Raw genomic sequence first — 14,573 nt, forward strand, 5'->3', positions numbered from 1 at the left:
CAGGTCAGTTTCAAACATGCTGCAATCAAGGGGTATGTTTTAAGCTAAATATTTCCTGTTCTGATTACACAAACTATACCAGCCCTATGTTAAATACCACATGTCTATGTTTATAGTAGGAAAGCCTAGAATGGAATAAAGAACTAAACATACATTTCTTTGACAGCGGTTTTTTTTGTTTGTTTGTTTGTTTGTTTTTTGAGATAGAGTCTTACTCTGTCACCAGGCTGGAGTATAGTAGCGCAATCTCAGCTCACTGCAACCTCCGCCTCCCGGGTTCAAGCGATTCTCTTGCCTCAGCCTCCTGAGTAGATGGGACTACAGGTGTACGCCACCACGCCCAGTAGTAGAGACGGGGCTTCACCACGTTGGCCAGGATGGTGTCGATCTCTTGACCTCATTATCCTCTTGCCTCAGCCTCCCAAAGTGCTGGGATTATAGGCATGAGCCCAGCCAACAGCATTATTTTTAAAATTAAGGTCATGCCATATAGAAGAATTTTCTTAGGTAACTGCTTCAATTACCAAGGTTGTCAGAATGTTTTTCTTAAAGAAGCATTTATCCTCTACAGAAACATTCCTCAAGGTGTGTCTAGAGACCATTAGCAGGCATCTGCATCACCTGAGGTGCTTCTGACACTGCAAATGCTGACTCAATAAGTCTTACATGGGACCCCTGAACCTGTGTTTTAAATAAGCAAAGAAGTAATCCCTATTTTTATTCACTAGAATTTAAGAACCTGCACTAGAGATACACTATTATGGCTTGCATAAGAACTCTGAGTAAATGCAAAGTTGTGGTTTGATAGAACAAATAACATCAAACTTTTCCTTCTCTTTTTTTTTTTTTTTTTTTTTTTTGAGACAGTCTCACTCGCTGTGTACTCTGTCATCCAGGCTGGAGTGTAATCATGGCTCACTACAATTGTGACCTCCTGGGCTCAAGCAATTCTGGCCCCAGGCTCCTGAGTAGCTGGGACTACAGGCATGCATCACTGCACCCAGCTAGATTTTTTATTCTTTGTAAAAATAAGGTTTCTCTTTGTTGCTTAGGCTGGTCTTAGGCAGCCACCCAAAGTGCTTGGATTACAGGTGTGAGCCACTCTGCCTGGCCTCAGACATCAAACTATTTTAAAAGAAAGGGAGATCGGGGGCCAGAATTATAAATTCACTATCCTACTTTGCGAAGAGAGTAACCATCTTAAATACATATGAACCTTTCCAAATCTTCAAACCTTCATAATCAGAAAACTTACTGCTGACTGTTAAAACTACATTGGTCAAAGCAAAGTCAGTTTTCTTCCTCCAGAGGTTTTAGCCATACAGTTTTTTTAAAATGGTCTTTGAAATGAAGCACAAGGACAGCTTTGGTGTATGGGTAATGTTCTGTTTCTTGATCTAAATGTTAGCTATGAAGCTGTGTTCTATCTGTGAAAATTTCTTAAGCTAAACACTTGTGATAGGTGAACATTTCTGAATGCATAGGATCCTTCAAAAAATATAATTGGTCTTTTAAAAATTCAAACTTATTAGCAGTTATACTAAAATATTTTAGCATGACACTTCTTGCCTTTCAAGTTAATAACCCTCAGTGTTGATGACTGCTGAACTGAAATGGACATTCTCAGATGCACTGCTTTTGGGAAATATAAACTGATATATAAGCCTTTTGGAAAGCAGTTTGACAATCAATAGCTGTCCAAAGCTCTGAAAACAGTCATAACTGTTGACCTAGTAATTTTGTTCTCAGAATCTATCTCAAAGAAATAATCTTCACTATGGGAAAGTCCTATTCCCAACATCAAAAAACATAAACCCACCTAAATAATCACAATAGGGTAATTATTAAGTGGGTTGTAGTATATCTACATCATAATTTGTATACATTGATGGTAAAGCTAAAAAGCAAAGCAAAGAAATGATTGATAAAAAAATTCTCTATGCATCTGGGGAAGAGCACAAACGCACTCCCACATATGTAGTAATATTCTATTTAAGCTGAGTGGTGCATACACAGGTATTCCTATTATTATGATTATTTAAACTATATATATATTTTATATACTAACAAGTGTGAATATATATTTTATAATATATAAGTTTTGGTAAAATTCAGAACAATTAATGTTTACTAAAAGTTTGTCAACATGAAAAATGCTCATGTCATGCTCACTGCAGCAGCATATACAGTAAAATTGGAATGAAAAATGGTCATATCATAATTGTGAGTAAAAAACTGGGGCACCATCAATGGATAGACTGGGTAAAGAAAATGTGGCACAAATACACCATGGAATACTATGCCCCCATAAAAAAGGATGAGTTCATGTCTTTTGCAGGGACATGGATGGAGCTGGAGGCCATCATTCTCAGCAAACTAACACAGGAACAGAAAACCAAGTACCACATGTACTCACTCATAAGTGGGAGCTGAACAATGAGAACACATGGACACAGGGAAGGGAACATCACACACCAGGGCCTGTTGGGGGTGGGGGGTGCCAAGGGGAAGGAGAGCATTAGGACAAATACCAAATGCATGTGGGGCTTAAAACCTAGATGATGGGTTGATAGGTGCAGCAAACCACAATGGCACATGTATACCTATGTAACAAACCTGCACATTCTGCACATGTATCCCAGAACTTAAAGGAAAGTAAAATAAAAATAAAAACTGGGGCACTATGCCTATGTCCTGAACAGTAGTGCCTAGGTTTTCTTCTAGGGTTTTTATGGTTTTAGGTCTAACGTTTAAGTCTTTAATCCATCTTGAATTTATTTTTGTATAAGGTGTAAGGAAGGGATCCAGTTTCAGCTTTCTACATATGGCTAGCCAGTTTTCCCAGCACCATTTATTAAATAGGGAATCCTTTCCCCATTGCTTGTTTTTCTCAGGTTTGTCAAAGATCAGATAGTTGTAGATATGCGGCGTTATTTCTGAGGGCTCTGTTCTGTTCCATTGATCTGTATCTCTGTTTTGGTACCAGTATCATGCTGTTTTGGTTACTGTAGCCTTGTAGTATAGTTTGAAGTCAGGTAGCGTGATGCCTCCAGCTTTGTTCTTTTGGCTTAGGATTGACTTGGCAATGTGGGCTCTTTTTTGGTTCCACATGAACTTTAAAGTAGTTTTTTCCAATTCTGTGAAGAAAGTCATTGGTAGCTTTATGGGGATGGCATTGAATCTATAAATTACCTTGGGCAGTATGGCCATTTTCACGATATTGATTCTTCCTACCCATGAGCATGGAATGTTCTTCCATTTGTTTGTATCCTCTTCTATTTCATTGAGCAGTGGTTTGTAGTTCTCCTTGAAGAGGTCCTTCACATCCCTTATAAGTTGGATTCCTAAGTATTTTATTCTCTTTGAAGCAATCGTGAATGGGAGTTCACTCATGATTTGGCTCTCTGTTTGTCTGTTATTGGTGTATAAGAATGCTTGTGATTTTAGTACATTGATTTTGTATCCTGAGACTTTGCTGAAGTTGCTTATCAGCTTGGACTTCATGTCTAAAACACCAAAAGCAATGGCCACAAAAGCCAAAATTGACAAACGGGATCTAACTAAACTAAAGAGCTTCTGCACAGCAAAAGAAACTACCATCAGAGTGAACAGGCAACCTACAAAATGGGAGAAAATTTTCACAACCTACTCATCTGACAAAGGGCTAATATCCAGAATCTACAATGAACTCAAACAAATTTACAAGAAAAAAACAAACAACCCCATCAACAAGTGGGCAAAGGATATGAACAGACATTTCTCAAAAGAAGACATTTACGCAGCCAAAAGACACATGAAAAAATGCTCATCATCACTGGCCATCAGAGAAATGCAAATCAAAACCACAATGAGATACCATCTCACACCAGTTAGAATGGCAATCATTAAAAAGTCAGGAAACAACGGGTGCTGGAGAGGATGTGGAGAAATAGGAACACTTTTACACTGTTGGTGGGACTGTAAACTAGTTCAACCATTGTGGAAGTCAGTGTGGCGATTCCTCAGGGATCTAGAACTAGAAATACCATTTGACCCAGCCATCCCATTACTGGGTATATACCCAAAGGACTATAAATCATGCTGCTATAAAGACACATGTACACGTATGTTTATTGTGGCAATATTCACAATAGCAAAGACTTGGAACCAACTCAAATGTCCAACAACGATAGACTGGATTAAGCAAATGTGGCACATATACACCATGGAATACTATGCAGCCATAAAAAATGATGAGTTCATGTCCTTTGTAGGGACATGGATGAAATTGGAAATCATCATTTTCAGTAAACTATCGCAAGGACAAAAAACCAAACACCGCATGTTCTCACTCATAGATGGGAATTGAACAATGAGAACACATGGACACAGGAAGGGGAACATCACACTCTGGGGACTGTTGTGGGGTGGGGGTAGGGGGCAAGGATAGCATTAGGAGATATACCTAATGCTAAATGACGAGTTAATGGGTGCAGCACACCAGCATGGCACATGTATACGTGTGTAACTAACCGGCACATTGTGCACATGTACCCTAAAACTTAAAGTATAATAATAATAAAAAAAAACTAGGGCACTAAATTAGTTATAAATTATAGCACACAGATCTTGTAAAAGGAGGTTGGAATAGTCTTACAAAGACACTCATTTCAACTATGACTTAACGTTGTGCTGAGGATCCCAGTCAAGAATTCCTCTCATAAAAACAAAAGAAAGGACCCACTTAAACTGATATTCTTTTTTTATAATTGTGTACCTAGAACATTCAACACAATCAACTGACAATATACCAACACTATCAAGAGTTTAGTAATCTGACCAAGAACTGTCCTAGATGCCAAAAGAGATGACAGCTAACAGTTTTTGAGGGCTATGTACCAGGCACTGAATAAGGTGTTTTTCACGTATTAACTCCTGAGGGAAGCTGCTATTATTATCCTGACTTTTAAATTTAAAAACTCCTAAGAAACAGAGAGGTTAAATTACTTGTGTGATGCCACACAGCTAGCAAGTGACAGAGTTTGGCAGTCTTTGCACATAACCATTACATTACCCCAACAATAAGCAGTTAGAAAATGTAATAAGTAGCCAGGCGAGGTGGCTTATGCCTATAATCCCAGCACTTTGGGAGGCCAAGGCAGGCAGGTCACTTGAGGCCAAGGGTTTGAGACCAGCCTGAGCAACATGGCAAAACCTTGTCTCTACTAAAAAAAATAAAAAATTAGCCAGGCACGGTGGCACATGCCTGTAATCCCAGCTACTTGGGAGGCTGAGAATCACTTGAACCTGGGAGGCGGAGGTTGCAGTGAGCCGAGACTGCGCCACTGCACTCCAGCCTGGGCAACAGAACGAGACTATGTCTCAAAAAAGAAAAGAAAATGCAGTAGATCACAGGATCCCCTTCATAATACAATCAAGAACCACTCAAACAAACAAACAAAAAACACACACTAGGGAAAATGATTTTAAGAGATATATTTTTAAATATTTAAAGCAAGACCAAATTGCAATACTCAAAATTATATTACATGGATGTGAATTCTCCAAAACAACAAAAAAAACTTTGGGGATGGGGTGTGCAAAGGAAGCCTTGCCCTCCAGATAGTCTCATCTTTTGGCCATTTGTCACTTAGGAAATTCTCTGGAGATGGAACTGTGCATGGTGCTCCGGTCATACAAAGATAGCTAAAATTCAGGAATCTGGTTAAGCTACTTTGAGAAAAGGTCTTGCAAAAGAGAAAGGATTAATCAGGAACCCCAAATAATGAATGGTAGGCCATGAAATGAAGGGTTCTGCCACAGCTGTCATCAATGTGACAGCCTGCGGTGGATGAGCAGATCATATCACCACTGTAGCCTTCCACTTACATCAAAGTTGTTGAGCTGAATTCAACATATGCTCCAATCCAACTCTCCTTATTTATAGACAAGGAAACTGAGGTCTAGAACAGGCTTCCCTTCCTAGCTCACAAAATTATTTTAAGGCAGAACCAGAGAGCTAACTAAGCACTCCTCTTCCCCAAGTTTCCTGAAGACCAGTCTGAATATATGTATCCAAATGACTGCACCCATTTAAGCACACTGTATTGAATTTATATTTATAGGCTAAGTCAGCGTTTTCCAACCTTCAGACATTCACCTTCCAGCTTATAATTCTGTCATATTCATATATCTCTACTATTACTCACTTTATATATTTTTTAAATCTATATACTTCTTTACATAAAGTTAGCTTCATCCTAAGCAACAATATTAATAAAATGATACATGAAATGTGTATTTTTCTAACACATTAAGACAAATATGTATCTATTGAAGTTTCAGTGTTTGCATTTGAACCACTCCTCAGAAAAGTAAACCATCCTTTGCTGTATTTGAAAAGATTCTCTCCAGGTGTTCCAAGGAATTCTAATCTGTTTCATGTTAATGGGTGTTATTGATGAAAGAGTGCTTGATCAAATAAATCTGGGGAATGCTACGTTTTTTGTTTGTTTGTCTGTTTGTTTAGAAACAAGGTCTTGCTCTGTCGCCTAGTCTGGAGCGCAGTGTTGTGATCATAGCTCACTGCAGCCTCAAACTGCTGGGCTCAAGTGATCCTCCTGCCTCAGCCTCCCAAGTAGCTGAGACTACAAGCGCATGCCACCATACTGGGCTAATTTTTCTTTTACTTTTTGTAGAAATAGGGTCTTGCTTTGTGGCCCAAGCTAATCTCAAACTCCTGACTTCAAGAGATCCTCCCACCTTGGCCTCCCAAAGTGTTGGGATTACAGGTGTACAGGCATGAGCCACCACAACCCAGAATATTTCTCTGATTATTTAAAAACTCAGAGGTAGGGCATGAAAAAAATGTTCCCTAGTGTGAAACACAGGGTGTTCACAACATTGTGCAATGAGATTCTTCTAACAGGTATAGCACTTATAAGACTTATTTGACCATGAAACCTTTTTTTCTAGACAGTATTAGTAAGGATAACACGTTCTAAGCTGTATTAATTTTCAGAGATTTTGTTTTTCTTTTTGACCCCATAAATGATATAAGTAGATACTGTGTATAATAATTTACACTATATCCCTATTAGCATATTCAGAATATTTTATGGTAGAAAAAAAATGAGTAGAAAAGCATAATATTTCCTCTTGTCATTTTTAAAGTGTCAGCCTCTTGGAGAAAAGTGACACACCTTGTTCAGAATGAAACATCTGCATTAAACTTGGGAATTCTAAAATAATACAAATAAATTTTAATAAGTTATCCAGATAGCCTACATTAGTAAGGCTTTCCATTCATGTTTGTTTTTGTTGTCTTGGGGACTTCTAAACTTCTAGGTGGAACTTTAAGAGTGACATGCCCATAATATCACATTTAATCTGTGGGTGTGACTGGGAGACAATGTATTACTCACCCATTTACAACCCATTAGTTTCCTCTTTCTTTCTCTCTTTTTCTCTCTTTCTCCCTCTCTCTTCCTTTCCTTTCTCCCTTCCCTTCCTCCTTTCCCTTTTCTTTCTCCCTTTCTCTCTTCTCTTTCTTCAATGTTTTGATATAAAAAACTGAAAAGGATATTTATTGCATTTCTATCTTTAAGTATATTTGTGTTATCACAGGAAAAACATCTCATAGTTAACAAACTAATGCTTTAAAGCCAAAATATATGAATATTTCTGTCTAGTGCACTTTTAGTTAAAATTAAGAACTAAGATTCAAGGCAAAGAAATGCTGTAATACTCTTGATTCAGTATTCATGTTAGTGAAACTAAGTACAGTAGTACACTAATAAGGGAGGAAGAATAGTGATGTGTTAAGGACAAAGTGTTTTATCATCCGGCCATACACCAATTTACAGACCATCTCAAGTATGCTACTCTTAAATACTTTTTTTTCCAGCAACCAAAGTTTCAATATATTCTTTTCTACACCTTACAAAAATTATCAAATTTTAGAGCAGATTTTTATTCTTAGAAATGCTTTTTATTCTCTAATTCACAAATATTTATTAATTAAAAAGTTGTGTTCTTCTGAGATTCCTCACCAATCCATGGGGTCAGTTAGATATTTGGGGAGTTGTTCAGCTCTTACAAATACCCACATTTGACACTAATGCACTGCAACAGAATAACCTGAGTAAGCTTGATTCTCTGAAATAGTCAGAGGAACAGAAAAAACAACTATTAGGTACTAGGCTTAGTACCTAGGTGCCGAAATAATCTGTAAAACAAGACCCCGTGACACGAGTTTACCTATATAACAAACCTATGCATGTACCCTTCAACCTAAAAGTTTAAAAAAATAGAGTTTTCTCTCCTCTCTGGTTATAGAGTCAATTGTGCACTGCACTGCATTTATAATGAGGAAATAAACAGCATAGTCTTTTAGTACGGGAGGTAAACAAGAGTTAACTTGTATAAATGTAATTTAAAATGTGTATTCTACTTAATACATGAGAACTATTAAAATACATGTGCATCAAAAACAAAAGAAAAAATAGAAATAATAAATGTCTGATCCTTCAGCAGAATATTTCCCAAAGAGCTCTATTATGTAGCAAACTTCTATGCCATAAGTTTTAAATGATTCCATTTTTCAAATATTCATTTCTGTGTATATTTAAACATCATAGAGTGTCTACTGAATAGAGTTAAGTTTTAATAATTGCAATTCATCTTTTTTAAAAATAATTTACTCTCCATTTGGCTTCTAAAATTTTATTGCAGTATTTAGAAGATTTAGTTAGTTTCTAATAGCTGAAAACCTTCAGACTTCAATGTCACAGTTTGACCCAAATGCACATGGTTCCTGCCCTCTTCAGTTTGTGTCCTGCTGCTTCCAAATGACAAATGTGGGCACTTTGTGTAAAGGCATTGATTACACTGTTAGATAGATTCTAGACATGCTTATTAAAAAGGCATCTTTTATAGGTGAATATGCCTTGCAGGATCTTGTATCCTAGGTGAGGTTATTTTCATAGTTACATATTTAATGATAATAATAACTTGCATCTATGCCACTTTCATATTCTCTTGGCACCAAGTTTGCCTTCCAAAGCAAACTTTGACTAAAGATCTTCAGGGCTCATCCTTAGTTGCATAGGCAAAGAAGTTCTCATACATACAACCATCACACATTTGCAAAACCACCATTTATTAGGGTCTCTTAGAATGAATTCTGTACACATCTATGCTAAAGATGGAAAAGACGTTTCACTTCTTATGCATCAGTAGATGGGTAGTGGGGCCCTCAGAGGAAGCAGTGGGGTTGTTGATCAGCAATACCTACAATGTGTTTAGGAAGAAGGGGAGGGGCAGATGATGTATTGCTCCCTATCCCCATTTGTCATCCCTGAGTTAAAACTTTCTCTCCCATAGCCATTTCCACCCCATCTCCCACAAAAAAAAAAAAAAAAAAAAAAAAAAAATGCACCTAAAGAATGCAGATTTTCTTACTGACTTTACATCCTGATAGAGCAATAGATGATAAAGCTCGTGTTCTTATGGAGCCTAAAAAAGTCTCATAGTATATATACTACTGCCTGTTAGTGCTGAAACCATGAATAAGCATGTGTGAGCTGTTTAGTGATAAAAAGAGAGCAGAGATTTGGGCTATTAGAGGTGATCCTGGCAGTGACATCTGTTGACAGAACTGGGAAGTTAGATTACACCAATAAAAACTGACAGCATAAGGAAAGGGGACCTTCAGGAAGTTACTTTGCCTGATCTTCCACTCATCACACTAGACCACCTCCCTGTAGCTGGGTAGTTAGGCAACCACTCTCTTGTCCTCCTTCCTTCTTTCAAAAGCCCAGTTCATTCCTCTGCAAAATGGAACAATCATGCGTGGAGGTTTACCATAGGCTTAACTAAGATAAATATTAAGGGCTTAGTACAATCCTTGGCAGATAGTTTGCACTTGTTCTGTGTTTTTTCATGATATTGACACAACTGTTCACTTCATCACTATGTACAGGCTCAACCTAAGCAGGAAAGTTGATTTCCGCATGTGTTTGGGAACAGAATAAGCCAAGGCTTCACAAGGAAATATTTAAACATTTAAACGTCATAGAAATTATTACCAATCCCCTTGGCAGTTGCTGCAATGGTAAGTTAACCCCACATGAAATAGAAAATTAAAATAAGTAGCTATAAGATTAAATCAGAAATACTGTGAAACATTTTCTGCTTCCTGTTTCTGGTACCCGCTTCCTGAGGGCACAGGGATGGGCGGTAGGTGGCTAGACTGAATATACCATTATTATTCAGGGAAGTTTCACCTTTATTCCTTTATTGAAATGGGGTGGCTTTTGTTCTTTCGTGTTTTAAGGAATGGGGTGAGGAGTTTAGGAATGGGACAGTATAACTCAGTGGTCAGTAACATACACACTCTGCCATAGCACTTATGAGTTTGTGACCTTAGAAAAATTACTTAACTTCTCTCCATCTCAGTATCCTCATTTGTAAAACAGGCGGAGAAATTCACTAAAAGCCTTTTCACATTGCCTGGTACGTGGTGAGTGCTTAATCATGTTAGCTACTGAAGTTGGTAAACAGTGAGAAATGAAGGAAAGAATGGAAAGAGAGAAAAAAGAAATAGGAGAAGGGAAAGAAGGAGTAAAGCTCTGCTTGGCTTAGCTCTGCAAATCATTTTGGACAGGTGTCTAGAGTCCTGGTTGTCTACATTCCCGGGTTTGCTGATTCAGGGCTCAATACATGACTGCTATTCTAAGGCAGAATGGTGGGGCCACCACTGTCATAGAGCACTTTCTTAAGGAAAGGGCTGTATGAAAAGGAAGTTCCCCATGTCAGGTGCAGTAGCTTATGCCTGTAGTCCCAACATTTTGGGAGGGCAAAGTGGGAGGATAGTTTGAGTCTACAAGTTTAAGATCAGCCTTGGCAACATAGTGAGACCTCGTCTCTACAAATAATAAAAAAAAAATTTAATTAAAAAAAAGGAAGCTCCCAAGAGTGACCCTTGAAATGAATTCTAGGAAAGCTTTTATCATTATCATGGATGGAAAGGAAAATGAGATGTTAGCATCTGCCCCAAGCTTAAAATGTCACCACAATTAACACGGTAGCTCGTTGACACTGGCTCTGCAAAGGAAATTATTCCCCCAAGCCTCTAAAAGCAAACAAGCACCCCCTCACCCTGCAACCATTACACAGAAATCTAGGAATTACCTGGACAGAACTGAACACTTTCTGATAAATATGGTTTTCATAAAGCTACAGAAATCTCAGGTATTTCTCTCCAAAAGTGAATGTGCTTGTTCAAATTTGTAAAAGGTAGACTTGATCCTCTAACCCTTTTGTACAAATCTCATCTCATAAAAACAGGAAGAAAGTCAAATGCAAAAATATGTTTTGTCAAATTCCAAAGAGAGTAACCTCACCCTGAAAAAAATGCCAAGGGAAAATGTTTAAGATACATAAGTAAAATACTCATGGAAGAACTGACTGCTATCGAAATTTAAGTTGAACACAGTTCAATTCGTTTCAGAGTAAATCACATTTTAGGCAATGTACCGCCTTCGTATTTTTTCAAATCCCTGCAGCAGTGATGGGATATGATCAGAGACTAAGACATATCATTAAGATAGCAAGATAATTTTGAGAAGTGTATGCTGTTCTTTCAGCCACCAAAATTTCACAAATTTATGAGTTCTTAACAACTGACACTTTTACATTAATTCAGGATTGAGAGAAAAAAGTCTACATTTGATTTCTCAGCCCTCAAATTAGATGTCTTCAACAGGCACTTCTATTTGGTTAGATTAAACAAGTTAATCTTTCTACAGATCTGCTTTAGGCAAATTTTATGGCTCTTTTAACATACGATCAATAATTTTCTAGAAAAACATAGTCAAAATAATTTGGCATCAGAAAAACTTATAGTAACAAACATGCTATTCATATGAAAAATCAAATCTCCTTTCTTGTTACATCACTGTAGCTTTTAAAAAGAAAAAAATGCATAAGTTGGCTGGGCGGGGTGGCTTGTGCCTGTAATCCCAGCACTTTGGGAGGCTGAGGCGGGTGGATCACGAGGTCAGGAAATTGAGACTATCCCGGCCAACATGGTGAAACCTTGTCTCTACTAAAAACACAAAAATTAGCCGGGCGTGGTGGTGTGTGCCTGTAATCCTAGCTACTTGGGAGCCTGAGGCAGGAGAATTGCTTGAACCCGGGAGGTGAAGGTTGCAGTGAGCCAAGATTCCACCACTGCACTCCAGCCTGGGTGACAGAGTGAGATTCTGTCTCAAAAAACAAAACAACAACAACAACAAAAAAAAAAAAAACAGCCCATCTAATTCATTTATTTCGAAGGAGCTGACTTTCCTCAGACTTTCATACCTTCAGATCTTCTTAAACTGCAGCAGAGTTTTAACTCTTGAGTTTCCTCTGTGATCTGAACCCATTAACCTGGAAGGCAAGGAGCACACCAGGCCTAAAACTAATTCTTGGCTTGAGTTTCAACAGATGGTGAAGTTAGTATTATCGTCAGAAAACAACCCTACTTCATCTCTCCTCCCCACCAGTTATGAGATTTGGACTTCTGTTGCAGGAGTTCACTATGCAACACGGTTAAGTGACAGATTCTCTTGAGTCATGAGTTCCTCTTTTCAAACTTGAACAGTTTCCCATATTTCAAAGCTCCTCACTCAGACATATTCAGTTCCTAGTTTCCTCAAGATGCACTCTCTGAATTCCCAGAAACGTTCTGTGCTCCAGTTCTTGGCCTGAAGGATCTCAACCGTCTTCTCTGAGGCATCAGACAGAGTAGATATGAGGCCTGGAGCCAGAAAGTGCTTACTGCTTCCTGTTCTTAGGTTGGAAAAGAATCTGTTCTTGTTAACAAGAGAGGTATTTTGAAGAGAAACAAACAATACCCTTCTTCAGAATGTGCCACTTCCTCAGAATGTCCATTCCTAATCTCAAATCTAAAGGAAATCTGTCCTGTTCTTTTCTTTCATGGTATTGATCAGAGTGTTTAAATGTATATTTGTGTGTGTTTATTTGTACATTTGATGTCCGTTTCCCTTTCTGGACTGAAAGCTTTCCCCTATTGCACGGTAAGCTATATGAGGGCAGGGACTGTTTATTTTATTCAATGAGCAAACTCAGAGGCTAGCACAGAGTTATACGCAGTTGACTCTCCATAAACATTTGTTGAATGGATGAATGAATGGAAAGATGAAAGGCAGAAATTTCTGTGGTTGGCCAGTTCAAGCACAATGAGTATACCAGGCAAATGCCCCCTGCTCACTAGAGAATGAAAACATCACGCTTCTCTGTGTTCTAGGTCAACTGGAGAGAACTATGTCTGAAAATGCATGAGGAACATGTTTATTGGTGGGGTGAGGGCAGTGACATGTGCCCATGCCTCTTCAGGTTAGGTGTGTATCTACATGTATATAGGTATTATAGGCAAAGAGATTGTTGTGAGACTAGCTGCAAAATGGAACTTGTATGGAACACAAAGATCCAAGGGGTTAATTTCTTGAATGTTCATGCCACTCTTGCTGTGCCAAGGATTGTGCTAGAGCACTAGCAGTCTTTTCAGGACAGGGTCCCAGATGTGCCCAAGATGAGCTGATGCCAGGGAAATGGACTCCATAGCTATAGTCTCTGACAGGGCAACCTGAGTCCTTTGTCAAAGAGCAGCTTCCTTCCTGAACACATCTTTGCTTACAAAGACACTTGTTCTTTTTCTTTCCACTTTAACTGAAAAAGTCCCCCTCTCAACTCTCCCTCCCACCCCACCCCCTTAATGCCACCATATCCATTCCTTGTTTCCAGGCAAATTCGCATTCATCTCTCCAAATAAATGTGCCTCTGTTTTTCTTACAGACATCTCAAAATAAAAAATTAGCAACATATTCTAGGAGAAAACCAGATGAATTCTGTGTCTGGGGTAAAATTCACTAATTTTCCTCTGTAATAGCTACACTGTAATTACATAGTCAATACTAAATGTGCCCCTAAGCAATCATCTTACTGAATTTATGCAGTATAAGCAGGCAACAGAAATCATCTCACTGAAAGTAATTCTTTCCTTCTCATCAAAAGGAAGGGAGGGGTTGTCTAAGTTATCTAACTAATTATCTTAATTCCTTCTTTGTGGTTATGTCCACAACCAGTCTTTGGATTTCTGGGGTTAGGCCCAGGCAAAAATAAGTTCCATCAAAGTTATATATATTCAATTTATCACAATGCCCTCTAAACACGTTATGGTCAAAAACTAATTATACAATCATAAGAAGTGAATTTTGAAAATATAACTAATAATAGGCTAATATTTTTAATGTTTTAATACGTACTAGACATCTTATTTGTATTACGTTACTTAACCTTTAAAAGGACCCATTTAATGAAAACTCCCTTTTACTAAGCCTTAGGCAACTTACTTACTATGGCCTTGAACCCAGATTATCTCTAGCCCAAAGGCAATGATGTTGAGGGAGAAAAAAGAGGACTAAGAGTTATGTGGCTCAAGGTCTAGTTTGGGTTAAGATACATAGAGGTTAGGGGTACAGGTTTGGGGATCAAAGAGACCTAGATTAAAATCTTTGCTCTGCCAT

This window comes from Homo sapiens, chromosome 5 (genome assembly GCF_000001405.40).
Source record: "Homo sapiens chromosome 5, GRCh38.p14 Primary Assembly".
NCBI classification, from domain to species: Eukaryota; Metazoa; Chordata; class Mammalia; order Primates; family Hominidae; genus Homo; species Homo sapiens.